Genomic DNA, 26,904 nt, shown 5'->3' with positions numbered 1-26,904 from the left:
AGAGAAAGCCTGCTCAGTTACCCTGGTCAAAACCGCTGCGTCTGTAATGGGCCAGTGCCAGCTCCTCCACAGAGCACAGGACCGTGGTGGGGTCAGCGGCCTCCCCGGCCTCCATCACAAACACAGACTTGCACATCCCACGCTGTGGGCACAGCCTGCCTGTGATGGTCACCTGAAACAGCAGCAGAATAACATCTATTAGCCTCAGGTCAGCAAAAGTCCCTGAAAACCTGCCTGTAGCATCGTGAGGATTGACCTCCCTTACCACAAAGTCAGTCACTTAGTAGAGCACACAGCGTGGGGCTCACACACGCAGAACTGCGGGGATGTGACAGTTCGCTGGTCCGGCCCTGGGAGAGCCTCAACCACCAGAACTGCTCTACAGGTCCCCAGTGAGTAAATGAAACCGGGGCAGATGCTGAGAGGCCCCATTCAGGAGATCTGTCACTCAACCCAGGGTGTGACCACACCAAGCAACCCAGTCTCCTCAGGGAGGAGGGCGTTAGGGGGAGACTGGGAGCAATGGCCACACAGCCGTCCAAAACGAGTTTTAGATTATTCCGAGTCTAAAAGAAAACACACACTCAAAACAGCTCTTAGGATGCTTCTGGTCCAAAAAAACCAGGTACACGCGCCTAAGTCCAAAGCACCCACAGGCTCTTTCCTCACGTGTTTCACATCTTGCACAGCCATTTCTGGGAGCTGCTGGAAGAGGTGCTTGAACTTTTTACAGCTCGGAGACTCTCGCAGGCGCACGGCTCGCTGATACAGTGAAAGGCGGTGTCCCGTTCTGACTTCCGGATCCGCCAGCCCCTCTGTGATGCACTTGATAGTCTGGCAGAGAGCATGGTCACACATCAGGCTCCTAAAAAAACCCATGGCGGCTTCCATGCATTTAGTTTGACAGAAAAGCCCACTGTTTATTATTGAATTTTGCTGATTAGCAAATGAGCAAACAGCACTTCTAGAGATTTAGGCTGTTTCCTTAGATCTTATTCTGAGGATTTCAATGCATCTGGCAACCAGAGCCTTCACAGTCAACGTGCTGGAGCGTGACCGGGCTGTAATCCAGGTGGACAGTGGATCCCAGCAGCTGCCCCTCACAAAGGGTGTGAACCTCAGGGGTACCTGACTTTACAGGAAAACTTAGCTCAGTGGTTCTCAGGACATCACCTAGGCAGCTTTGTAGGAAAACATGTGTCCCACCCCGGATCCACACAATGAGAACCTCCAGAGCAGGAGCCCACGCATGGGGGCCACATCAAAGCGCCAGGTCAATCTCATATGCAGTCAAGAACCATGGAGCTGCTTCAGATTCCTTATTTACAGGGACAGGAGCCAAAGGTTTGGAGGAATTACAAGTATTTCCCAAGGCGATTCAGAGTCAGACAAATAAACAAACACAGAAAGCCACAAGGAGATACCACTTCACACTAGGATGGCTATAATCAGAAACATGGAAAATAAGCATTGACAAGGAGGTAGAGAAACCAGAAACCTCACGCATTGCTGGTGGGAATGTGACACTGGTGTAAACACTGTGAAAAACAGTTCAGCCACTCCTCAAAAAGCTCAACACAGAATCACCACAGGACCCAGCAGTTCCACTCTCAGGTATTCCCAAAAGAATTGAAACCAGGGACTGAAACAGAGGTTCATGCAGCATTCTTCAAAATGGCCGAAAAGGTGGAAGGAACCCAGTGTCCATCAACCAATGAGTGGCTAGAAAAATGTGGTATCAGATGCTACAGTGGAAGTGTGTTCAGCCTGGAGAAGGAACGGAGTCCTGACATGTGCCACGATGCGGGTGAAGCTCAGAAACATGATGCTGAGCAAAATACACCAGACATAAAACCACAAATATCGTAGGATTCCACTTCAATGAAATGAATGAAATGAACAGGCACATTTACAGACACAAAAAGTAGATGAGACGTCGTCGCCAGGGCTTGGGGAAGGGAAAGCGGGGCGTAGTTGCCTAATGGCTGCAGTGTTTCTGTTTGGAGTGGTAAGTGGAGAGGCAATGGTCACACAACACTATGAGTACCATGAATGCCACTGAACTGTACACCTAAAAATGGCTAAAATGCTGTATTTTAGGGATGTTAAATTTATTTTACCACAATAGAAACATAAAAAGTGAAAGAAAAAATAAAAACCAAGAAATTGAAAATCAGTGAAGGCTCAGGCCATCCAGAGTTGAGTGGCTGAAGGAAATGAAGATGGGAGAATGAGACTCTGAAGGGCACCCTGTTCGCTGGCAGAAGACGGTGCCGGGCAGCGGCAGCCTGGCCTCGGAGAGGGAGGGCCCAGCTGGCTCCACCTCTGCCCTGGCCAGGCCGGGGCTGGCTGCAGAGCACTTTGCAGGAATTAGCACTCAGCTAGGCGATCCCTTCCCTGGAGACTGAGGTAAAGATCAAAGAACACTAATGAAATAACAAGAGCTATGGCCAGTAAGACCTCTGGAAACAGAGGTTAGGAGGAACTAGGCTTAGCTCAAATCTCAAAAATAAGCTCAGTGGCTTGTCTACCCCCTAGCAGAACTGTGAACAGAGGGGAAATCTGTACTCTCTTGAACTTTTATTTCATTGAAAGAAAGGCGACAGAAACACAAGCTTTCTCCTTCTGTATTTGGTTCTAGGCTACCAGATGCTTTCTCTTGCTATTTCAGCCTCAGTAAACACCGAGTGGTAAGGAAGCCCCACACCCTCCTCCATGAGAGGAAATAGCTTTACTGGCTCTTTCCCTGATACGTGAGGTAACAAGGCACTTTTTCAGTTTACGGCAATAAAAACAAGATGTCATATTTCCTAACCAGTGGTCGTTTTTTTCCACCCCTACATCACCCTGATTCACTTAATGGGCCACTGAAAAAATCAAAAGCTCCCAGAGGCACAGTCCCCTCCATTCAACTCAAATGCAGGGCTGGAATAGAGACAGGGAGGGGCCTGCTGGCGGCCACACAAAGAACCACTGTTGCTGCCTAGCCCACAGGCACAGGCTCTGCGGCCTCACCCGCCTGGCTGTGGTGGCCACAGAATCCCTGTGCTTCCAAGTGCCCCTAGATCGCCACCACAGGGAGCACTGGTGCCTGCTCAAGGTCAAACAACGCTTCCAAATGGCAGAGCAAAACACCTCACAGAAGTACAGAGTCACGCATAAAGGACCTGCAATAAGATAGGGAAAGGAACGCTTTCTCGCCAATCTTTCTACCTAGAGACCCTGTGCTACAAATCAACAAAGTCACCATTTCCAAAACAAACACCTTCCTTGAAGGCACTTGCTGACTTGCTGACGGCTGAGTCATCTGACTCTCCCTTTCCCTTAATTCCTAGATCCTGATTCCTAAATGCCAGCACAGAGTCCACAGTAAGCCCATCTCGCCAATCAGCAAAGAGAAGACAAAAGCTTCCAGTCTCTATGCTCATGCTGTGCTGGCATCCCTGGTATTCTTTTGGGGTTGGAAGAACACAGACAAAAGAAGAATGTTAACAAAAGAAATACATGTTCTAATTACATGTAAATTTTAAGGCATTAAGTTTGCCATATTTTAAAAGTTGATTCTAAAATGAAAAGGTGTTTCAGATATGTTTTGTTACTGAGTACCGGTTCCAGGCGCTTCAAGTGCTGGTGTAAATTAAGGGCCAGTCGATCCCACCATCGGCCTCTGCTGTCAGGACAATAAATTCTCTGAGACAAAAGGCTTTCAAGTTCTCTGACGGCTTCCTATTGCAACAATAACAAAGAAACCTCATTAGATTCACAAAAAATCCAGCTGCAATGATATTTACAAGCCCATAGGATTGGTAAAGCCTATTTATAATGCGTATCTTTCCATTCTACAATGAGGCCAAGGACCCCGAACTGACAGGACAGGGACTTTGAGGTGCCTTCTGGAGTGGGCATGAGTTCCCTAAGGCATCCTCACTCTTCACCCGGTCCCTGCCAGCTGGCACTGGGGTACAGACATCTGTGAGTGCTGCAGAGTGTTATCTGCAAACCAGTCAACCAGTGCAGAGTCGCACAGGGTCAAGTTCCAGGCAGCTGAGCACTGGTCACAGTTGGCAAACCCACATACTTCTGGGAACACAGCAGGTCACAGGACCAACTGCAAGAGGGATTTGGGGTGGGCAGGAAAGTAATGAGGGGTGTCCTCATACAAACACCCTACCTCAACAGGAACATTCTCTGGTCTAGATTATGTACAGACTGTTCGGTCATTCTGTTTGTTAATCTTCTGTGGCTCATGGATGTCTTTGTAATATGGAATGATTTACCCCAGAAAAATGCATAAATCCCCATACACATGCAAGTTTGAGATTCACAGATTTCCCCAAAGCCCACCCATCACTCCCCTGGGATTCACAGACCCCAGGCCAAGAAACCAGCTTAGCACATCCTCTTTGTAAGATCCCATTTTCTTTTCTTCTTGTTTTGTATATATATATTTTTGACCATGCCTGGTCTGGAGATAACATTTTCAATATAGAAATATCAAACACAACAAAAGTGAAATCTAGCAATTTCACAAAGTTTAGGATACGACAAATTTCTGATTTGTGATTATAAATTGTCTCCAGACAATCCATGACAGCTGACAGGGAAGCAAAAGGAAGCAAAAGGTCCCTCAGAGATTTCTGGGGACCTGCCAAGTCTCACAAGGAGTTCTGAAAGAGACTCAGGCTCAGGCTGCAGACCTGTGGGGCACCCTCCAGGATGGTGGCCGCCACCCCCAGGCCATCCTGGGACACAGATTCATCAACACACAGGCAAACAGAACAGCTGTCCATCTTCACCTATCTTCTCTCTACTAATCCAAGAGACAGCGGGCTGCCTACATTAACTATGCCCTCGTTGGCCAGGCACAGTGGCTCACACCTGTAATCCCAACACTTTAGGCCCCCACTGTCAAAGCATCAGAGGCCAAGGTGGGCAAATCACTTGAGCCCAGGAGTTCGAGATCAGCCTGAGCAACATGGTGAAATCTCACCTCTACTAAAAATACAAAAATTAGCTAGGCATGGTGGCGCACGCCTGTAGTCCCAGCTACTCAGGAGGCTGAGGTGAGAGGATGACTTGAGCCCGGGAGGCAGAGGCTGCAGTAAGCTGAACCCTGCCACTGCACCCCAGCCTAGGTGATGGAGTGAGACCCTGTCTCAAAAAGACAAAACAAAACAAATATGCCTCCATTATATTACTGTGTGCTAACCAAATAAGCAGGAAATGCTGAGAGCCCGACAGCTGTCCCTTCACATGTTTAACGCCATCACATCAGTAATGGTGGGGGGCAGGGACCTGTGCTCTAACCTCATACATGTGAAGTCTCTGCAGTATTTCCACAAACCGAGACAAAATCCTTGTATAAATCCACCCAACAGTGAAACACCGCAGGAAGAGTGGTAAATCTTCGTGGCATCTAAAATGAAGACATATACCAGTAGTTTAATAATTTGGTTAATTTATTATAAGACAATAATAACAAGTGACAAAGCAGACTGAATTCCTATCTTTTAAAAAGGTATATTCTAAATACTTTCAGTTGTGTACAATTTTCTACACCACAAACCTACATTCTCACAGCCAGCTACCACGTCCTAGGTCACTCAGACAGTGGAGTAAGATGAGAACTCATCATTCTAAACCAAGGTCAGCAAACTCCGGCCCACAGCCAAACCCAGGGTCTGCCACCTGATTTTCTATGTCCTGCAAACTAAGAATGGTTTTTATGTTTTTAAATTGTTAATAAATAAAGAGAATAATACACTTTGGTATGCGAAAATTGTATGAAACTGAAATTTCAATGTCCACAAATGAAGTTAACTGGAACACAGCCAGGCTCATTCATTTGCATACGTACTTCTTGTGGCTGCTTTTGCACTAAAACAGCAGAGTAAAGTTGGTGCCACAGAAACCATATGGCCTGCAAAGCCTAAAATATTCACTATGTGACCTTTTACAGAAGTTTATCAACCTCTGTTTATAGTAATCTAACTTCTTGTGATTTTTAAGTCAATATTATTTCTCTATAAATATACAGCTGACCCCTGGACAACATGGGTTTAAACTGCACACGTCCACTTATATGTGGATTTTCTTCTGCTTCTGCCACCCCTGAGACAGCAAGACCAAGCCCTCCTCTCTCTCCTCGTCCTCAGCCTATTTGCTGTAAAGACAACAAGGATGAAGACCTTCATGATGATCCACTTCCACTTAACGAACAGTAAATATGTTTTCTCTTCCTTATGATTTTCTTTTTTTTTTTTTTTTTCCCCGAGACAGAGTCTCGCTCTGTCACCCAGGCTGGAGTACAGTGGTGCGATCTCAGCTCATTACAACCTCTGTCTCCCAGGTTCATGTGATTCTCCTGCCTCAGCCTTCCGAGGCTGGGATTACAGACACTCGTCACAACACCCACCTAATTTTTGTATTTTTAGTAGAGACGAGGTTTCACCATGTTGGCCAGGCTAGTCTCGAACTCCTGACCTCAAGTGATCCACTCACCTCTGCCTCCCAAAGTGCTGGGATTACAGGCATGAGCCACCACGCCCAGCCCCTTATGATTTTTTTTTTTTTTTTTTTTTTGAGACGGAGTTTTGCTCGTGGCCCAGGCTGGAGTGCAATGGCGTGATCTCAGCTCACCACAACCTCCACCTCCTGGGTTCAAGTGATTCTCCTGCCTCAGCCTCCCGAGTAGCTGGGATTACAGGCAGGCACCACCAGGCCTGGCTAATTTTGTATTTTTAGTAGAGACGAGGTTTCTCCATGTTGGTCAGGCTGGTCTCAGACTCCCGACCTCAGGTGATCTGCCAGCCTCGGCCTCCCAAAGTGCCGGGATTACAGGCGTGAGCCACCGTACCAGCCCCCTTATGATTTTCCTTAATAACATATTCTTTTCCCTAGCTTACTTTATTGTAAGAATACAGCATATAATGCATATAACATATCCAATGTGTGTTAATTGACTATGTAATCGGTAGGGCTTCCAGTCAACAGTAAGCTATTAATTAAGTAGTGGGGAAGTCAGATGTTACACACAGATTCTTGACTGTCTGAGGGGTCGGTACCCCAACCCCTGCATCATTCAAGGGTCAACTGTATATCCTAAATGATTTTTTCAAAGTGGCATCTGAAAATACTAATTTTTCTCATCACTATGTAACAACAAAGGAAAAAATGTCTTAATAAATATTGAAGATGTTTACCATTTTCAACAAAATAAAAGATCATGTGCTGTGTACCTGGAAAGTTCGCTTGAGCTGTCTTTTGCAGAGTTTTTAACACCTACTTGAATTTCCCTCAGAGGAACCCACCTACCATGCTTCCCACATCCGTCCTGCTGCTGGCTTCCCTCACGTTTCAGTTCAGCTCACCAGTACTCAGGGAGGCCAACACTCCTACAGTTGGCATGCGACAAGTCAAGTATGGGGTTGGCATGTGTGTTGCCCAGGGATCTGAGTTATATCAAATTCACTTTAAACCTTCAGACATTTCCTTCTATTTCACACAGCACTTTCATTCTAGGCAAAGCACGCACAAAATTCAATTCCACAGCTGGTTTAACCACAGAGAAAAAGGAGTATATTCTTCATGAAGAAAATTACTGTAAGTGTTGGGAACAACTTGGTCAATGTATAAATTTTGGCAGGTACCTAGAAAAACTCTCACCTCAGAGAAGGGTGGTTTTTCAGTCTGTTCCAATCCCTTTTTGCACACTGAGCGAGCTCCTTAGCTTCTTCCCAGTTCCCATTGGCCATTGCGGAAGAAATGTCACTCAGCATGTGCGTGGCTGCTGCATATCTGGAGGAAAATGCCATCCAAGTTCCAAATAAGAATGAGCATTCCCATAGAATGACCACATCCTAGCCACTAGATCTCACTCTGAAAGGTAAAAGTGTGTTTTTTAAAATATGAGGGCCACTTAAATTTTATTCTAATAATAATTTATCTTAACCAAATCACTGGAGTGGCCCAGAACTGATAAGAAAGCCCAACTAGAAAGATAAAAACATTTATGCTGTATTATCACATAACATGTTCCATTCTATAAATGTGATATGGATCAGCTCATCATTCCTGATTTTGGCACTCATCCATTCATTCATCCATTCACTCATTCAACAATATGACAGCAAACATGTAAGTGACATCAGAATTATAGTCAGATGTAGATCTGATAATTTAATCATTTACAATCAGAGCTAGCCAGAGGGATGCTGCCCAAGCTAAGAAGATTACCTGGAATATTTCAAAATAACTAAGGGATGCTCTTTGGGAGATGGCAACGCTGAAATGTTACAACACAACTTAGCTTAAGAAAGACAATTTTTCATCGCTCCTTTAGCTACCAAAAAACAAAGACATTTGACCAACAAATTCTGTTAACACTTTGAGTACATGTTCATTGTATTTTGGTCTCACATCTAAAAGAAAAGCATGAAGTACATAATATCATTATGTACAAACACTGTAAAGTAAGAGTAAAGAAATTGCCTCCAAATGTAAAAGTTTGCTCACAAATTCTTAGATCTCATTCTTTTATAATATGCTGCTCATTCAGTTCCATGGCTTCAAACATTGTCCATATGCCAGTGACTCTCAAAATGTTGACTTTTTCCAGGCCAGACCCATTCCCTGAGCTCCTGACCGCAAGTCCAATGCCACACACAACAGCTTCAACCAAACGGCTGAAGAGCACCCCACACACTGACGCCTCCAGCACCAACACCTCTCCCAATCCCCTTCACTGGATGGCGCCCCACCCCAAGGCAAAACACCAGAGCCATCCTTGATCCACTCCTCACCTTCTCGCCCACATCAGAATCAAGTCTTGTCTTTACTGCTTCCAAACTGCCTCATACACATTCACTTCTCTCCACTGCCGCTACCAACAACCCAGTCCTGTCCACCCCCACATCTTAGCCAGGGGTCTCCTGAGTTCCTCCAACTCAGCAAGCTCTTTCCTGCCTCAGGGCCTGTGCACATGCTATCTCGCGGCCGGGACGCAGGCACCCAGACCCTGACACAGCTACCTCATTCTCATCCTCAAGTCCCACTTCAAATGTCACCTCTCCAGGGCCACTCTGTCTATAAAGAACTTATCCAGCCTGTCCCTCAATTATCACAGCACTTCTCACACACTTTAAATAGTGGTTAATTTCTATCTCCCCAGGAAACATAGCCCCATGATGGCTGAGGCCCTCTCTTGTTCACTGCTACAACCCCTAACCAAGTCACATAAAAGGTACTCAACACTCATTTGTACTGAATGAATAAGAAACATTTTAAAAGGATAAATTATCTCAAGTACAGAGGTAGACAACAAGGGTTTCCTGGCCAGGTATCACATTACCAGATATTGAATACTATTACCTTTCCAGAAGTCAATTAAATCCAGTTTCATTTACATCTTAAGGCTCTCTGCTTAACCAAGGGAGTTCTCATTATTTTTATTATTTACAGCACACTTACTTTCTAGAAAGAATATGAGATGCCTTTTGAACTTGTCAACCATGGTTTTGTCATAGAACTTGGGTATAACAGTAAGAATGACAATTAAAATAATAATGAACATGTAGTAGGCATTCCCCATAGCCCAGGCTTTAAGCACTTCCCATGCACCCCACACATGTCTGTAAGAATATACTATTATTCTCCCCATTTGACAGATGAGGAAACTGAGGCACAGGGTGGGTTCACAGTTCATTGGTATAGAAACTGGAACTTGGCTTCAGAGTATACATTCTCACAAGCCAGAAAAGCGTAAAGCCAGTAAAAACAAAAAAGGTAAAAAAGATATGAGACAACTGAAAACAGGGTAAGAATAAACAGTCTTATTAGAGATTTTAACTAAAAAAGTTATTCCCATTGAACACAAATAAGATACTGAGCTTCCTGACAGCTAAGGTAAAATGGGCCAAAATCAGATTATACTGACACTGCTGTGATTCAAAAATTTCAATAACTTACTTCTTAAAGCACCTGGCTTTCCTAGAAACACAGGACTTTCCTAAAAGCAAATATCACAATCAATTTTGGTTAAATTTGAGTCAGAAATCCAAATCAAGAATCAAAAGTGACATTTTAGGAAATCCAAATTAATTTTTCTTACCAAAGGTGTTTTTTTTAAGGAAATCCAAATTTTTTTTCCTAAGACCTACACTATTCTTTCTTATCAAAACCTGCTTTTTAATACTGTAATCCCATTATTTGTTTGGCATCTATTATTATTTTTAATTAACATAAAATTGCACATATTTATGTGGCACAGTGTGATATTTCAATGCATGTATACAATGTATAATGATCAAATTAGGGTAATTAGCATATCCAGCACCTCAAACTTTTTTGAAAATGTTTTAGAGATGGGGTCTCATTATGTTGCCCAGGCTAGTCCCGAATTTCTGGACTCAAGTGACCCTCCTGCCCCAGCCTCCCGAGTAGTTAGAAATATAGGCATGTGTTGCCATACCAGGCATCACCTCAAACATTTATCATTTCTTTGTGTGGGGAATATTCTAAATCCATTCTTCTATTTAAAAATATATAATAAACTGTTGTTAATTATAGTCATCCTACACTGCTACAGAACAACAGAACTTATTCCTTCTACCTAGCTGCACTTTTGTATCTGTTAACCAACCTTTCCCTATCCCCCTTCCCCTCCCAGCCTCTGGTAACCACTATTCTACTCTCTACTTCTGTGAGATCCACTTTTTTACCTCCCACATATGAGTGAGAACATGCAGTATTTGTCTTTCTGTGCCTGGCTTATTTCACATAACATAATGTCCTCTGAGCTCAGCCATGTTGCCACCATGGAGAATTTCATTCTTTTTTATGGCTGAACAGTACTCCATTGTGTATATGTACCACATTTTCTTTATCCATTCATCCACTGATGGACACTTAGGTTGACTCCCTATCTTGGCTATTGTGAATAGACTGCAATAGACATGGGAGTACAAATATCTCTTCAATATACCTATTTCTTTTCCTTTGGATATTACCCAGTAGTGGGATTGCTGGATCACATGGTAGTTCTACTTTTAGTTCAAAATCTACTTTTATTGGACAAACCAAATTTTCACTAAATCCGTGTGCCAATATAAATTAGTGAAAATTTCTAATTTATCATCTGTATATCTAATTATCATATGTATGATATACAATATACAAGTTATTAATAGCTTTACCTAAAGTGTTACTAATAAGAAAATATTCACATTCAGTCTTGTTCATGCCAACAACATATTCCTAAGTCAAGTTTGTTAATATGTCTGTGTCAAAAAAAATACAGGCCGAGGGCGGTGGTTCACGCCTATAATCCCAGCACTTTGGGAGGCCAAGGTGGGCGGATTGCTTGAGTCCGGGAGTTGAGACCAGCCTGGGCAACATGGTGAAACCCCATCTCTACCAAAAAAATACAAAAATTAGCTGAGTGTGGTGGCATGTGCCTGTGGTCCCAGCTACTTGGGAGGCTGAGGTGGGAGGATCACTTGGGCCCAGGAGGTTGAGGCTACAGTGAGCGGTGATCATGCCACCGCACTCCAGCCTGGGCGAAATCCTGTCTCAAATTAAGACAAACAAACAAACAAAAAATACTCCCTTCCAAAGGTACTTGGAAACATAAACCAGAGAAGTTTTTGTAGTTCTAACTCAAAATTCCTTGGATTTTGGCAACCATAATCTCAGCACACTTCTACATTTTCCCTATAGTCATAGAAATGTATACAAGTGGGGCAAAAAAAGATTAAAAACTGTTTTGGCTGTGGACTTAATGTTTCTACTTTGGCTGGAAAAAAATAACAAAACCTTTTACTAAATTGTGAAATACACATATAGACATTATAGTGAGCTAACATCATCTTACCTGATAAGATCATCTCTGTCTTGGAAGATGTGGGTTTTCCGATTGATGGTGTAACTAGGAAACTCCATTCGGCCGAGGTTGACCAACAGGACTGTTGAAAGCTGTCCCTGACCTCCACAAGCGGCGTCTTCATCTTCCATTGAGTCGGTCAACGAAAACAGTAGCAAGATGCGGGAAAACACAGCCCTGGGGCCTTTACAGATTCGTACTGACTGTCCAGCCAAGGCTTTGGCTCTGAAAAATGTACAATGTAGAAATAACTTTTAGCTTTTTAAGCATTTGGATGTCAGATTTTACAAATTATTTTCATCTAAAATAAAGAGAAATGACATTCACTATTTTAAACACTGGAGCATTACTTAACTGCTCTGGGGCTGAGAGCTCACCCAGGGATACACAGGAGTAAATGAATGTACATCTCCAAATGGTTCCACACATGGTTTGGCTCCATACAAGTGCTTCCTTCCTCGGCTGCACAGTAGGTTGGGGTTTACCCTGGTCATGAGTGCTTCAAATACCAGGAAAACTTTCAGAAAAGTATTGCCTAGTCAACATGAAGCAATTCTCAATTTTTTATTCTAGTGATGATTTAGATTAAATAATGGTATTTCTTTAAAATGTCATTATCAAAGGCTCCAGGTAAAACATCAGATTTTGTGTACCAAGACGTGGTGCAAATGTATATGCCAAAGTTTGGTGCTGTTCTCTAGCGCAGCAGTCAACGCTTTTGGCACCAAGGAGTGGTTTCATGGAAGAGAATTTTTCCATGGACTGGGGTTGAGGGAGGTGTTTCGGGATGAAACTGTTCCACTTCATATCATCAGGCAATAGATTCTCATAAGGAATACGCAACCTAGATCCCTCGCATGCGCAGTTCACAATAGGGTTCACACTCCTATGAGAATCTAATGCCACTGCTGATCTGACAGGAGGCAAAGCTCAGGCGGTCATGCTCTCTGGCACACTGCTCACCTTCTGCTGTGTGGCCCAGTTCCTAACAGGCAATGGACAGTTATCGGTCTATGGCCTGGGGGTTGCAGACCCCTTCTCTAGTGTACAGAATGGTCCAGCAGCATCTCTATTCTAGGATAACATTGGAGTGAATTCAGTTCAACTCTGGATGTCTGCAAGGTGGGCTTGGAGGTCTAAATTAAATCCAGGACCATGTGGGCCCTCTGACTCTAGCAGCTTAGACACCATCAATAGCAGGGTTTTTCAGCTTCAGCACTATTGACATTTAGGCTAGGTAATTCTTTGTTGTCAGGGGCTGTCCTGTAAATTATAGGATGCTCAGCAGTGCCCTGTCCCTGGCCTCTAGTCACTAGATGCCATTAGCTTCACCACCTCCAGTACTGACAACCAAAAATGTCTCCAGATGATGCCAGATGCCCCCAGTTGAGAACCACTTGGCTAGTGAAAGATGTCACACCCTTCTGGTGCAGAAGCTATTAAACCAAAAGCAGCACTGCATCCCAGAGGGTGTGGGAGAGATGAGTGCCACCATCATGGAGTTGAAGGGGAAGGGGTGGGATTCCTATCACACCACCACTGAACTGAGAGCCACTCATCTACAGACTGCCCCAAAGTACCCATTTCATCCACCTCCACGCAGAGTCCCGGGGATGCCCCAGTGGACACAGCCTCCAGTCTGCAAAAGGAAGCATTAAACACAGAAAACTAAGCAGTGACTCCTGCAAGGATTAAGAAAGCATAAATAATGTGCCTTTTTCTGTAATAATGTGGCTGTTTCTGTTTCTTTATCATAACAGCAGAGTAAAAGCACCAGGCGCTGCCCTAGCGTGGGGCTGGCAGGGACTCTGAAATTCCACTGCTGGGCTTTACCATCAGAATGAAGAAATAAAGGACAACCTTAAAGGACAGTGGTTTTCACTAGAACTAAAACAGCCTTGAGGATTCTATTTTCCTACAAGTCCAAAGTTAGAGATAAAATATGTTCATCTTATTTACTTTATCTGTTCTATGCTAAGTGCATATACCAAGAAAGGGCTGCTATTTTTTTTTTTTTTTTTGAGATGGAGTCTCACTCTGTCACCCAGGCTGGTGTGCAGTGGCGCGATCTCAGCTCACTGCAACCTCTACCTCCCAGGTTCAGGCAATTCTCCTGACTCAGCCTCCCAAGTAGCTGGGATTACAGGCACCTGCCACCACACCAGGCTAATTTTTGTATTTTTAGTAGAGACAGGGTTTTACCATATTGGCCAGGCTGGTCTCGAACTCCTGATCTTGTGATCCACCTGCCTCAGCCTCCCAAAGTGCTGGGATTACAGGTGTGAGCCACTGTGCCCAGCCAGAGGGTGGCTAAATTTAATGTTTACTTGCTTATAAAATGTTACATATAAGGTTAACATCAAATACTTAAGAAATACAATTAGATAAAGAAAGGACTTAGAAGACATTTAACATACCACACAGATGAGGATTCTATACTTCTCAAGTCAATTAATTACAAGTATGTAATTTATTGAAGTACTTTTTAAAAATCTATAACACGAGCTTTTTTCAAGTGTTGGTATTTATATTTTTCTTAATGTCTGCCTTATTACACCTATGTTTCATTAAAGATTAGTATTTATAGCACCTCCCCAACAAGGATGGGCTCATAACAACTGAAATATACAAAACAAATATATAAAATAAATAACAACATCATGTTAAAGTGTTTTCAAAAGCATCCTCTCATTTCATCCTCGACTCCACAGTAGTGAATTCCCAGGCTAGAGTTGATATAGTTTGATTATATAAATAACATGGGCAAAAGAAATCAATTCTAAAAGTTTTTGTAATTTTCAACTGAAACAGGTCAAGGGCTTCTCAAGGACAAAAGAAGCCACTCACAGTTTTTGGTAAATTGTTACGTTTAAACTCAGGAAAACTTGCACATTAAGACTGCCTGATTATACTTTGTTTAGTAAACAAAAACTAAAATAAAAATTTGACTAAATAGTTTACCTTAAAATCCCATAAGAATCACTTAAAACTGTATTTTTCTCGGAAAATAAAATACTACAATTTACCAAAGGCCTATTGCCTTCCGATTTTTCTTGGTCCTGGAAATTAGTACGGTATTACGACAAAAATTTTGAATAATAACCCAAGAAAGAATCCAGGCTATTGCAATTAAGGCTTTTCCAGCCTTCTCAATCTAACTACAACTGAAATAAACAATTACAGTTCAATCAAGTATACAATCTACTGTAAGTTAATATGTGCTATCAACATTTTAAATGTTTTTACTGTAACAATAGCCAACAAAACCTTTTTAAAATCACTGCACCAATTCCAGGCTTATTCTTGCCCCAAGTGCAGACTGAACGCTGTTTGGCCAATTTGAGAAAGGCGTCCACCAGCTGCTGTTTCTGTCCATTGGGATTCACCAAGTGGAAGGTCTTGGCTAGGGATTTTAGTTCAGGAGCAGAAAGGAGTTCAAGCACTTCAGAGAGTTCTTGCAACTCAGATTCTGAAATGGTTAAAAAAAAAAGTTTTTTTAAATTTTACTATTTTCTAGCTTTATTTACCTTAGTTAGATGAAAATAAAATGAAATGCTACTAAGAAAATTTTAATTAGTTGGCCAAACCAATCATTAAATGTGGAATTATTAACATGGTATTATTAACGTATTAATAACACTATTATTATATCTCTTAAAAGTTATCAAATAATAGAATTTCTCACTAAAATCTAAAGGAAAACATAACTAAAATAAAGACACACATGGATAGCCATTATGGTTTGGGCATCTCAACACCTGCTTGGAATATATACTCCCTGCCTTTCTCGTCACAAAACCCCTACAAAATGGGACCTCTCAAACCAGGTCAGAGAGAACTGATCATCAGCCCTCTTCTTCCCACAAGCCTCTCCTGCTCACTCGGCATTCGTGAGCCTGTTCGGCTACTGTGGGCCCCGACACCAACCTTGGCCTAGGAATTCGGCTCAGTCAGACCTCGCTGGTCTTTGCCTTCAAGGCTTCACAAGTTTAGGGCAGTGCCTTCTTCCTCCATTCAGCAAATATTTATTGGGTGTACACTGTCGGCCTGGTAATGTTCTAAGGCCCCGGGCATGCTACAGTGAAAGAAATCCCATCCATAGGAGCTAGCCTCCCAGCGTAACAATTAAATGAATAGGCAAATTTATCAGGTGGTAATAACCGCTCTAAAGAAAAACACAACTCAGGAGGCAAACTGAAGCTGGCAGGAGGCTGGCTGTATTTCACACAGTAGTCAGGCAAACCTTTGACAAGGTAACACCACGCAGCGGGGAAGGAAAGGAGAACTATGCCGTGTGGCCACGTGGTGGAAACTGACCTGGGTGGAGGGGAAAGTCAGTCCAAGGCTCTGAGACAGGAATGCACTCATCCTGGTGAAGAACACTGAGGGCTGGGTGGCCGTGGCAGAAAGCGAGAGGGACAGCCAGAGCCAGGCCCCATGGGGCTGGAGCATGGATGGGACTTGCACTTGACTGAGTGCCACGGTGAGCCACTAGGATCCTGGTTTTGTTGCTCATTTGAAGGTAAGTCAAGGCTCACCTGCAGCAGTCACCTGGCATGCCTGTCAGACATATGAATTTACGGAAGCTGCACCACATTTTCCAAGTCAGGTGGGGACTGAGTATCAAGTTCCCAGGTGACCCTGCTGGCACTGATGTGTGGGAAGCGCTGCTCTGCAGAGGGTCCTGTGTCCCACCACTAACCATTCACAACCAAGCGCCTTCACTGAGCTTTTATGCCTCTCCCGCAACTTTCCCCATCCCACGCCATCCAGCCCCACCCTAACACACTTCCTGCTCACTTCGCTTCATCCCCACTTACTGCTCCCCACAATAAACTCTGCCCCAAAGAAACCAGCTGGCTGATTCGCTTATTTTGGTCTAAAATGTCAGCAACTTGAACCCAAGGCTCACATTTCCCTTTCCTAATACAGTACAATTTTGTACCCAATACATAGGTAGGTACTTAACGAATGCTACTGACAAGACAACGAAGGGTATCACTGCAGAAGATAGACTCTCCTTAGTGTTCACATAGGCTTAAAGCAATTCAACAATGCTTAAGGCAATCAACATAATCGAAGAACTGTATGTGTGTGCAAGGGGGGCAGATGAAGTTTTTAGAGGCAATATGGGTTTCAAACAACCAGCTTTATTCTATCATAAAGAAGAGGACTCTGAGTAAGATGAGTCAAGCTCTTGCTGGAAGGAGAGCGCCAAGAAGGGATGTATCCATTTTTTTTGAGACAGAGTTTCACTCTGGTTGCCCAGGCTGAAATGCAATGGTGCAATCTCAGCTCACCGCAACCTCAGCCTCCCGGGTTCAAGTGATTCTCCTGCCTCAGCCTCCCAAATAGCTGGGATTACAGGCATGCGCCACCACACCTAATTTTGTATTTTTAGTAGAGATGGGGTTTCTCCATGTTGGTCAGGCTGGTCTCGAACCCCCAACCTCAGGTGATCCACCTGCCTCGGCCTCCCAAAGTGCTGGGATTACAGGCATGAGCCACCGTGCCCGGCCGGGATGTATTTCTTCTGTGGCACACACCCATGTCTATGCCCAGGTGACTTTCATTCTAAACCTGCCACAGTCAAGAAAACAGCAGCAGACCATCTCTCATTATTCTAGTATTCTTAACTCAGGCTAAGAATGGCTTTAGCATCACATGAGTAATTTGTTGTCCTAAGATTAAAAATTCAATTAAAAAACAGTAAGTTACCAGGCACCACCCCGGGGAGGGCACCATAATAATACTGCCATCATTCTGCAGAAGCTCAGTTCTTCAGATCATATTTTCATTTCACATCTCCTTCTACTAGTCATACCTGTCTGTAGAAAGCCTGCATTCGTCAATTCTTCAATCACAGGTGTTAAGTCTAAGGCAATCTCTTCATACTCTAATTTGGTCATCTTAATCCAGCTTAATTTACGTTGAAAGAGCCTTACATATAACTTCTGACCAGTAGCTGCAATAAAGTTAAGAAAAATGTTGAAAATCACTGCATTTACCTTTTAAACCTAAGGTGAATAAATGTACGATTTAGAAATACACATATGCTTACTGTATGTATAAGGCCTTCATTTTATGGAATAAACCATTTTGAAAGTACATTTAAAAATTTGGTAACAATTATTGGTCATTTTAAAACTTCTAAGATCAAGTTCCCCATTTTCTAGACATCAACATTTCTACTCCCTCAGAAAAGCCCTACCCAGAATTCTTATTTTGTTCTCTGCTCTTAGCTTAATATGCATTATTCTGATTTGATCGAAAATAATCTGAAATAATTTTCCAAAAAAAATGTCTAGCTTCAGTAGGGCAGTCATCTCTAACCCAGCAATCTTGACCAAGCTTCTTAATTAACCTGTTTGGTCTCAATCTCCCTATTACCCAGATTATCTTTAAATTTCGGCCAACTCTAAAATGGCTTAATTGTATTTTGAAAATTTCCAACATTTATTTTCCTTTCTTCTTTAAAAAGGCAAAATTGACCTGTCATGATGGTTCATGCTGGTGTTGTTTTTTTTGGTTGTTTTTTTGTTTTGTTTTTGTTTTGTTTTTTTTGAGATGGAGTTTTGCTCTTGTTGCCCAGGCTGGAGTGCAATGGTGCAGTCTCGGCTCACTGAAAGCTCTGCCTCCTGGGTTCATGCCATTCTCCTGCCTCAGCCTCCAGAGCAGCTGGGATTACAGGCGCCCACCACCATGCCCGGCTAATTTTTGTATTTTTAGTAGAGACGGGGTTTCACCATGTTGGTCAGGCTAGTCTGGAACTCATGACCTCAGGCCATCTGCCCACCTGGGCCTCCCAAAGTGCTGGGATTACAGGCCTGAGCCACCATGCCCAGCCTATGGCTTATGCTTGTAATCCCAGTGCTTTGGGAGGCTGAGGCAGGAGGATCGCTTGGGACCAAGAGTTCAAGGTCACAGTGAGCTATGATTACACCACTGCACTCCAGCCTGGGCAACAGACAGAAACCTTGTCTCTAAAAGAACTTAAAATTAAAAAAAAAAAAAGGCAAAAACAATTAGCAGTAATTATTTCTACACACCAACAGATTGTACATGATTCTCCATGGAGTGCAAGACACATGCATATGCAGAACTTGCACTAGGAAAACTGTTCCTATTTCTCAATTACATGGAATTACAGAGCCACCAATCTCTGAAATACTCCAGGAATGCAATCAGCACCCAACCAAAGATCTGTGACTAGTTTGGATAGAAAAGCCAATGTGCTATTATGTCCATCTTCTGGTGAGAACAGCAAAAGTAGAGATGGAAGTGGATACTACACACAGCTGTGCCCAGAGAAGTATCGCTCACATGTTAAAAAGTAACCCAAGGAATACCATAATTTCACTGTGCGAATTTAAAATAGAAATCCTTCCCTTGAACATCAATAGTAATGTTCAGGATTTTTCTCTTTTTTATCTACTGAGGAGTCACACATGGCCGCATTTTACTAAACGACAGTGTGACTACCATGTTTTTTCCTGCCCTCAGGGACATGGTTCCACAGAGTCATCATGGCCCTCTGAATAACACCGTAAAGACACAAGGGTGGCTTTTACTACAAACCTGCACTGCTGGCTTGGAGCCACCCCTGGCTGCCAAGGACTTCAGGCATAGACTAGTATTTTTAATGTACCAATTTCAGCTTGAAAGTTTCCATTTCCTCCACACCCTGTCTTTAAAAGGCACAGTCCATAAATCTAAAATGTTGTTGGGAGAAAGAAAATATGCCTCAGGTTGGTTTGTTTTCTTCCTGTATTGTATTTTATTCTACTTTCATCTTTGAGGAACAACAAAACAACCTAATGGAAAGCCTGATTACACGCTCAAAATGCAAAGTATGCTTTTCTAAGTCACATTATATTGTTTTTTAATCTGGAAAAGGTTGTTTCATAACTATCAAATGTACCTATAAAAGAAAAACAGCTGCTTCCAATGTAACCAAAGTTCAGCAGGAGTAAACATCACCCGGGACAAAATCTTGTCTCTTTTCCATGCATCCCTCTCAATAAAACCTTCGACTATGCTCCAACTCCCATGAACACTCCCACAGGGTGCTCACAACACCACAGTGACTCCTTGCGGTCACTAGATTACTGCCCATCACATCATGCCCCAATCAGAGCAGCAAAAGGGGAATGAAAACTTGAAAACAAACACGTGCGTAAGATACCTGATAACTGATAAAATTTAGTTACAATTCCCTTCTCCTGCTCATCAAAGAGCAACATATCATCTTCATTCTCAAGTACGGTTTTCAGCACCACAAGGAAACTCCGAAGGTAGTAAGGATGACCGGTTGTTTGACCAGGACCATTGCAGCTTGACCCCTGCTCCAAAGGAATGCTGTGAGGGATATCATTGTTTAAGCAACTGTCATCCTGCAGAGGAGCCTCTTGGATGTTACTCCATGCAGAAGCATCATCTGCAGAACTATGAGATTTTGCCTCTGAATCTGACAGCTGTATTTTAGCTTCTGAAGCAACAGTCATTTTTACTTCTTCACAATGACATGCCTCACGTTTTTCAACCACTTCTTTGATACACTCTTGCTTTACAAGACTGTCTTCTGAAGTAGACTTTAATGTATTCCTAAGAGTGAAATCTGGTGAGAATAACATGATCGCATTATCTGAGAATCCAGGGGTGAGGGCTGATTTCTCACATTCCCGGGTAGCCTTTTGGCTTTCGGCTTCCATTATTTTACTTCCTCTTACCATATGTTCAGGAATGCACTCTTCCTTTAGAGAATCACATTTAAACACGTTTTCTTTTTGAGAACTGTTCTCCAAAATTTGATCCTCGTCCTCAATTTCTGAAGAGTTATCAATCAGGCTCTTAACAACTGTGGATTTGGAACTCTGTGGACTAGAACCGGCAAATTCTTCATCCTTATCTATTGATTTTTTAGCCTTTACGTATTTTCTGGACAATTTAGATGCTAGGCTTCCCAAACAAATGACTTTCACACTACGATTTCTCAGCTCATCTTGATTTTTGCACACCACATCATTACTTTTAAAGTAGGGACTGATCTTCTGCTTTACTTCCCTTTTTGCTGAATCACTTTGGCCAGGGGTTAAATTTGTCTTTGGTGGTGGTGACTTCTTAGGTGTTACATCTTCTAAGGTAACACTGGTTAAATCTACCATAGACACATTTGAATTTATTAAGCCAACCTGCCCTGGATCCACTTGAACGAAGTCATTGTTAGCACACATTTCATCAAGGTGCCGGTTTAAGTCATATCTAGGCACCATTTTACTGCAAACGGGGCAGGCAAGTTTAGCAGGTGGTGCATTGTTAAAACACGAAATAATAGAATTAGATGCTTTTTTCTTATTCTTGCTGATTGATAAGCTTCTACGAGGCCTTTTTTTGTCAGGAGGTTTCCCTTCTGACATCATGAGTATTAGAAAAACTGGATGTTCTGAGCAATAAAACACAGGATATTTAAGGTGAAAGATAGCAATGGTTTACTTTTACTTTCTTGACTTGAAATCACCAAAAGTGGGATTCTATATGACCTCATGTTATTCGTCTCGACAATTTCTTCTTCCTACAAGAAGAAACACATATAAATTAAAAACATTTTTATGAATTCAGCAAGGGGAAAAGCGAACTCTGAAACGTTTAAGAGCAAGGTCTCCTGTAACGAGGAGACAACCCTGAGCGTGAGACAGAAGACCAAGCCCCTCCGACAAGCTCTGTACGCGATCTTAGTGTCCCTTACTATAAAATGACAGAGCTGGGCTTGTAAGGGTAATTTCTAGGACATCTTTAAGACCTAAAACTATCCGTTTCTAAAAAGGGACAATTTGACCACTTCAGACCCTTTACAAGACCACTGTATGAGTAACTTTTTCTGAGTGAGATGGAGACGATCAGCGCGTGGCCCAGGGCGATGCCCGCACCATAGGCCGGCGCAGATGAAACGCCCCAGCCGCGGGCAGCTGCGCCCGCGCCGGCTGCCACCACCGCGGCTTCTGCTGCGGAGCCGAGGCCCCGGCCAGCACGGCGGACGCTGCTGGGTCAAGGCCGCGCACCTGGGACGCGCACCTGGGGCCACGCGACTGAGCCCGAGCCACTCTCCCTGCTCCCTAGGGCCTGGCTGCCCTCGCGTCCTCCTTCCCTCGGTGCCCTGTCACCCAAGATCCCCGCGCGGCCACCTCGCACCTCCCACCTGGCTCCGCGCGCCGGCGCTTCCAGGCATTCCCAGCCGATCCCCGCGTCTCGCTTCCACAGGCTTGGCAAGTGGAGGCTCGAGTGATCGATCTCCTTTCCTTTCCACGTTAAAGGCTCCCATACCGTAGGTGCCCAAGGCAGGCTGAGCCCTGGGAGCGGAAACCCGGGCACCTCCTTCCTTTCCCACCCGCAGAGGCAGGCGCCTGTGCGCCCCTGCACGCCCCCGCACGCCTTCTCTGCGACTGTGCACTCTGAGACTCCTCTCCGCAGTCGGTGAGAAGGGCAAGCAAGCTAAACGTGTTTGTTGGGGGAGCATTCAGTGTCAAAGCGAGCAAACAGCCTCCTGCGGGGAAGACAGGCGACTTCTGCAACCAACACGCGGAGCTCTACTTAAGCTGACTCCTGCGAATAAGCGAGAGGGAGTTTCAGTTGGAAAACCACTGAGCTGGGTTTTCCAAAAGATAGTACTAATCACCGGTTATCTGATACCCTTGAAATAATAACATCAAGAACCAAGAAATAAAATGTGGCGACTAGGAAGTGATGCGTCTTGAGTATTTATGACTTCTGTTTTTAATGTAATTTATTTGTAAAGCTATATGATTTATTTAACTTTCAATAATGGCTGTGTTTAACAGCTGAATTTTTTTTTTTTTTTTTTTTTTTTTTTGAGATGGAGTCTCGCTCTGTCACCCAGGCTGGAGTGCAGGGGCGCGATCTCAGCTTACTCCAAGCTCCACCTCCAGGGTTCACTCCATTCTCCTGCCTCAGCCTCCTGAGTAGCTGGGACTACAGGCACCCGCCACCACACCCAGCTAATTTTTTGTATTTTTCGTAGAGATGGGTTTTCGCCGTGTTAGCCAGGATGATCTCGATCTCCTGACCTCGTGATCCGCCCGCCTCAGCCTCCCAAAGTGCTGGGATTATAGGCGTGAGCCACCATGCCCAGCCTAACACCTGAAAGTTTAACAATCAGCCCTGAAGCACTGACACCAGCGTGTTCCAGCCCACCATGAATGACCTAGAATGCAAGCTTCTTAACATCAGGCGGTTGTGCTTGTTGCCTTTACTATAAAATCGCTGCTGCCTGCAGCAGTGGCTAGCGTTGTGTAATTATTGATAAATATACACTGAATGAGTGCATAAATGAGCAAACTAAAGAGAATAAGGACATAAATAGGGAGTTCATTAACAAGAATGTATTGACTGCCTACCTCATTCCAGGTAACATTTTAGATGCTGAAAATATGTGGCAGTGAACAATGAGGAATGGGAGGAAATTCTTCATGGGAGGGAGGGGAACTCCTCATGAAGGATACATTCTGGTGGAAGGAGATAGAGAAATATAAAAAGTAAACTATGTGGTGAAATTGAAGACAAGTAAAGCCAGAAACATCTTAGGGTTGAGGTTACAATTTGAAAGAGTGGTAAGGGAAGTCCTCACTGAAAAGATGACATTTGAAGATTGACATTGGCCTGAAGGAGGTAACAGTGTGGACTGAGAGAAGGCCATGGTAGGCCAGGAAACAGCAACAGCACATGTAAAAGCCGTCAGGCAGAAGATTATCTAGCAGGCTCTAAGAACCCCAAGGAGGCAGAAGAAAACAAAGCCAGGGAGGCAGCAGAGAGCCAGACCATGGAGGGCAAGTGTTAGCAAATTTGTTCCGTAAAGGGCCAGGGAGTAAATGTTTGAGGCTTTTGGGACCATGTGGCCTCCATCATAACTAGGCAACACAGCTATTTTAGTGTGAAAGCAGCTATAGACAATATGTAACATATGAGTGTGGTTTTGTTCCAATAAAACTTTATTTACAAAAATAGCTGGCTAACTTGCCATCCAGCTACTGTTTGCCAGCACCTGATGTATGACCCTGCAGGTCATTGTATGGATTTGAGCATTGACTTTGAGTGAGATGGGAGGAGGGGAGACAAAGATTTTGAGCATAAGCTCTAAAAGGACCCCTTTCCCTGTTGCATTCAGAATAGAGCTTGGGGCTGGTCGTGGTGGCTCACGCCTGTAATACCAGCACTCTGGGAGGCCGAGGCGGGTGGATCACAAGTTCAAGAGATCAAAACCATTCTGGCCAACATGGTGAAACCCCGTCTCTACTAAAAGTATAAAAATTAGCCAGGCGTGGTGGCGGGTGCCTGTAGTCCCAGCTTCTCGGGAGGCTGAGGCAGGAGAATGGTGTGAACCCAGGAGGCGGAGGTTGCAGTGAGCCGAGATCGCACCACTGCACTCTAGCCTGGGTGACAGAGCGAGACTCCGTCTCAAAAAAAAAAAAAGCTACACAGAGAATTACCATCTGACCCAGCAACCACTCCGAGGTGTAAAACCAAGAGAATTAAAAGCAGGTACTCAAACAAATACATGTGCACAGCACGATTAACAGTCAAAAGGTGGAAACAGCCTGAATGGCCATCAATGGATGAACAGATAAAGCATGGTACATTCCCGCAATGGAATACCATACAACCATAAGAAAGAAATGAAGCACAAGCAAATGCTACAGTCTTGAAAACATGATGCTAAATGCAAGAAGTCAGAAATGAAAGGCTGCGTATTGTAAGGCTCCATTTATATCAAATATGCAAAATAGGCAAATCCACAAAGATAGGACACAGACTGGGGATTGTTGGGGCTGGGGCTAGTGAGTAAAGGGTAGCAACTGCTTCATGGATATGGGACTTTATTGTGGGCTGATAGAACTAAAGTGTTAATATAGACTTCGTAAAATTATCCAAATATCCATTTGGATTGTAGGGACTTTTTTTTCTTTTATTTACATGTAATACGTTAAAGATTTATTCTGACAAATCACATTGAAAAAATGGACAGCAATTTTTATTCTACTGAAGAGAAAAAGTAAACTTCATACTTCTCTCTGCTCCCCTTGGCCCCAAATGCTTATTCTAAATGGCTAAGAGGGCTTTTTGTTTGTTTGTTTATTAAGACATGGAAAAAAAAAAAAAACACCAGAACTAGGAAGCGACAGGCTCACTGCCTCCTGACCCTGATGCCAGAGATGTATCCAGGTCTGTTCCAATGCCCATCATCAGCACCCACCTTCCAGCCATGGCCAGGTATTACGCTACTACTGTTTCTTACTATTTTAACTTACCTTACACTTAAAAAAAAATCCTAACCGTGTCCTTTCACCTCATTCTAGGTAATGATACCTGTAAAATCGCCGGGCGCGGTGGCTCACGCCCGTAATCGCAGCACTTTGGGAGGCTGAGGTAGGAGGATCACCTGAGGTCAGGAGTTCGAGACCAGCCTGGCCAACACGGTGAAACCCCATGTCTTCTAAAAGTACAAAAATTAGTCAGGCATGGTGCCATGCACCTCTAATCTCAGCTACTCAGGAGGCTGAGGCAGAATCATTTGAACCCAGGAGGTGGAGGCTGCAGTGAGCTGAGATCACACCATTGCACTCCAGCCTGGGTGACAGAGTAAGACTCCTTCTCAAAAAAAAAAGAAAGATAGGGAAGATTTGTTAGTAGTCTGTGAGTTCCACAGTTATGTCAAGCACATTAAAAATTCCTTAAATTCCTAATTACCTTTTCCTGTCTTTTTTCAAGAGGATTTAACTTCATCAGAATTTTTCTTTACATTTAAAACACCTGCATCTTCAGTTGCCTCATCATCCAGCAAAGTGAAGGTCACTCTTTTCAAGCTTTCTTTACATTGTTTACTGTCTTCACTTTCTTCCAGGTCATCATCTTCCTCCCTACACTACCAAAACTCTTATAAAAAGAAATATACTGCTTTCCATTAGAAAAACAAAAGGAAACATATTTTCCCTTAATAAAGTTCTTCTTTTATATGCCTAATGCAACCAAATACTCAGAAGTTCCAAAATCATTCAGGTATTACGGAAGAGAAGGTATCATTTAAGTGACATGCTATGTAAGAAACAGAACAAAAGTGTCCAATATATAGAAAATAAATTATTCATCAATTGATAATACAAACCATCAATCTCACAAAAATAACAGGATTTTTGGGGTACAAAACCAAATCAAGGTTCCTGGCAAGAAATGTTTGATTGCTACTGCCAGTAATATTTTTCTTCATTAAATGATCTCTAATGTCCCTTTAAATCCACAGACTTTCCTCTGGCTATCTTGAGAATATCTGATAGGAGAGAATCTAACTTCTTAAAACAAACATATGTGAAAACCACAAGTACCAATACATGATTGGACAATTCCAGCTCACAATGTAAAGGATGGTTCAAATACTCACATTTCAGAAATGCTTAGTTCTTCTGCTGCTTCTTCAGCAATTTCATCCACTTGTTTGAACCCAGATCATCATCATGATCACTTGCTATGTCTTCATCACTTTCAACTGGATCAAAAAAATCTTTGTACTTCACATTTCTGGAACTTTTACCCGACTGAAATAAAAAGATTTTTTAAACTATTAATTAGGAATAGAAAAATACATCATTACCATTCTGAAATGGCAAGTCATAGACTGAGAATATATTTTCAAATCACAAAAGACTTGTGTTCAAAATATACAAATGACTCTTAAAATTCAACAATAAGAAATTAAGCAACGCAATTATAAAATGAGCAAAAACCAGTTGATCTTTGACAAAGTTGCAAAAGCAGCTCAATAGAGGAAGGATAGCCTTTTCAGTAAATGGTGATGGTGCAACTGGACATCCATAGGCCAAAAAATTGAACCTCAGCCTGAACCTCACATTTTTACAAAAATTAACTAAAAAATGGATTATATACTTAAATGCAAAACTGAAACTACCAAACTTCAGAAAACATAGGAGAAAATCTTTGCATCTAGGGTTAATAGCTCTCTT

At 43.1% G+C, this 26,904-nt stretch overlaps 2 protein-coding genes across 10 annotated transcripts in view, besides 5 other annotated features; one reads left to right on the top strand and one right to left on the bottom strand.

The window, feature by feature from the left end:
• Positions 1–7,245, top strand: part of MTMR10 (myotubularin related protein 10) — a 72,913-nt gene extending 65,668 nt beyond the window's left edge. Inside the window, exon 15 of the mRNA XM_011521737.4 lies at positions 6,038–7,245. Within this exon, the coding sequence (XP_011520039.1) occupies positions 6,038–6,115 (78 nt within the window). The 3' untranslated portion in view covers positions 6,116–7,245. The remainder of the gene's footprint in view (positions 1–6,037) is intronic.
• The window catches only part of FAN1 (FANCD2 and FANCI associated nuclease 1), a 39,257-nt gene extending 17,148 nt beyond the window's left edge, over positions 1–22,109 (bottom strand). Inside the window, exons 1-10 of one of the 9 annotated variants that reach the window (XM_011521370.3) lie at positions 21,937–22,046; positions 21,371–21,449; positions 17,703–17,843; positions 15,146–15,347; positions 11,870–12,103; positions 7,666–7,797; positions 5,308–5,416; positions 3,607–3,726; positions 670–834; positions 22–172 (exon numbers count right to left, since the gene is read on the bottom strand). In XM_011521370.3, coding sequence (XP_011519672.1) covers positions 22–172; positions 670–834; positions 3,607–3,726; positions 5,308–5,416; positions 7,666–7,797; positions 11,870–12,103; positions 15,146–15,347; positions 17,703–17,843; positions 21,371–21,422 — 1,306 coding nt within the window. In that variant the 5' untranslated portion in view covers positions 21,423–21,449; positions 21,937–22,046. Of the gene's footprint in view, positions 1–21; positions 173–669; positions 835–3,606; positions 3,727–5,307; positions 5,417–7,665; positions 7,798–7,825; positions 7,879–11,869; positions 12,104–14,172; positions 15,348–17,702; positions 17,844–19,456; positions 19,591–20,063; positions 21,450–21,936; positions 22,047–22,073 lie in introns of those variants that run through there. The other 8 variants (NM_014967.5, XM_024449874.2, XM_047432250.1 and 5 more) reach the window with 8 other exon arrangements.
• Positions 1,641–2,581: an enhancer, noted in NCBI's record as "H3K27ac-H3K4me1 hESC enhancer chr15:31215583-31216523 (GRCh37/hg19 assembly coordinates)". NCBI's record gives its function as "activates a minimal SCP1, AML or CMV promoter by ChIP-STARR-seq in primed H9 embryonic stem cells {active_cell/tissue: H9 hESC(primed)}" and the evidence as "EXISTENCE:reporter gene assay evidence [ECO:0000049][PMID:30033119]".
• Positions 2,582–3,523: an enhancer, noted in NCBI's record as "OCT4-NANOG-H3K27ac-H3K4me1 hESC enhancer chr15:31214641-31215582 (GRCh37/hg19 assembly coordinates)". NCBI's record gives its function as "activates a minimal SCP1, AML or CMV promoter by ChIP-STARR-seq in naive H9 embryonic stem cells {active_cell/tissue: H9 hESC(naive)}" and the evidence as "EXISTENCE:reporter gene assay evidence [ECO:0000049][PMID:30033119]".
• Positions 8,330–8,829: an enhancer, noted in NCBI's record as "H3K4me1 hESC enhancer chr15:31209335-31209834 (GRCh37/hg19 assembly coordinates)". NCBI's record gives its function as "activates a minimal SCP1, AML or CMV promoter by ChIP-STARR-seq in primed H9 embryonic stem cells {active_cell/tissue: H9 hESC(primed)}" and the evidence as "EXISTENCE:reporter gene assay evidence [ECO:0000049][PMID:30033119]".
• Positions 15,788–16,287: an enhancer, noted in NCBI's record as "H3K4me1 hESC enhancer chr15:31201877-31202376 (GRCh37/hg19 assembly coordinates)". NCBI's record gives its function as "activates a minimal SCP1, AML or CMV promoter by ChIP-STARR-seq in primed H9 embryonic stem cells {active_cell/tissue: H9 hESC(primed)}" and the evidence as "EXISTENCE:reporter gene assay evidence [ECO:0000049][PMID:30033119]".
• Positions 21,467–22,464: an enhancer, noted in NCBI's record as "H3K27ac-H3K4me1 hESC enhancer chr15:31195700-31196697 (GRCh37/hg19 assembly coordinates)". NCBI's record gives its function as "activates a minimal SCP1, AML or CMV promoter by ChIP-STARR-seq in naive H9 embryonic stem cells {active_cell/tissue: H9 hESC(naive)}" and the evidence as "EXISTENCE:reporter gene assay evidence [ECO:0000049][PMID:30033119]".

The sequence above is a fragment of the Homo sapiens genome, chromosome 15 (genome assembly GCF_000001405.40).
Source record: "Homo sapiens chromosome 15, GRCh38.p14 Primary Assembly".
NCBI classification, from domain to species: domain Eukaryota; kingdom Metazoa; phylum Chordata; class Mammalia; order Primates; family Hominidae; genus Homo; species Homo sapiens.
This window is presented reverse-complemented; position numbering and strand designations above follow the sequence as displayed.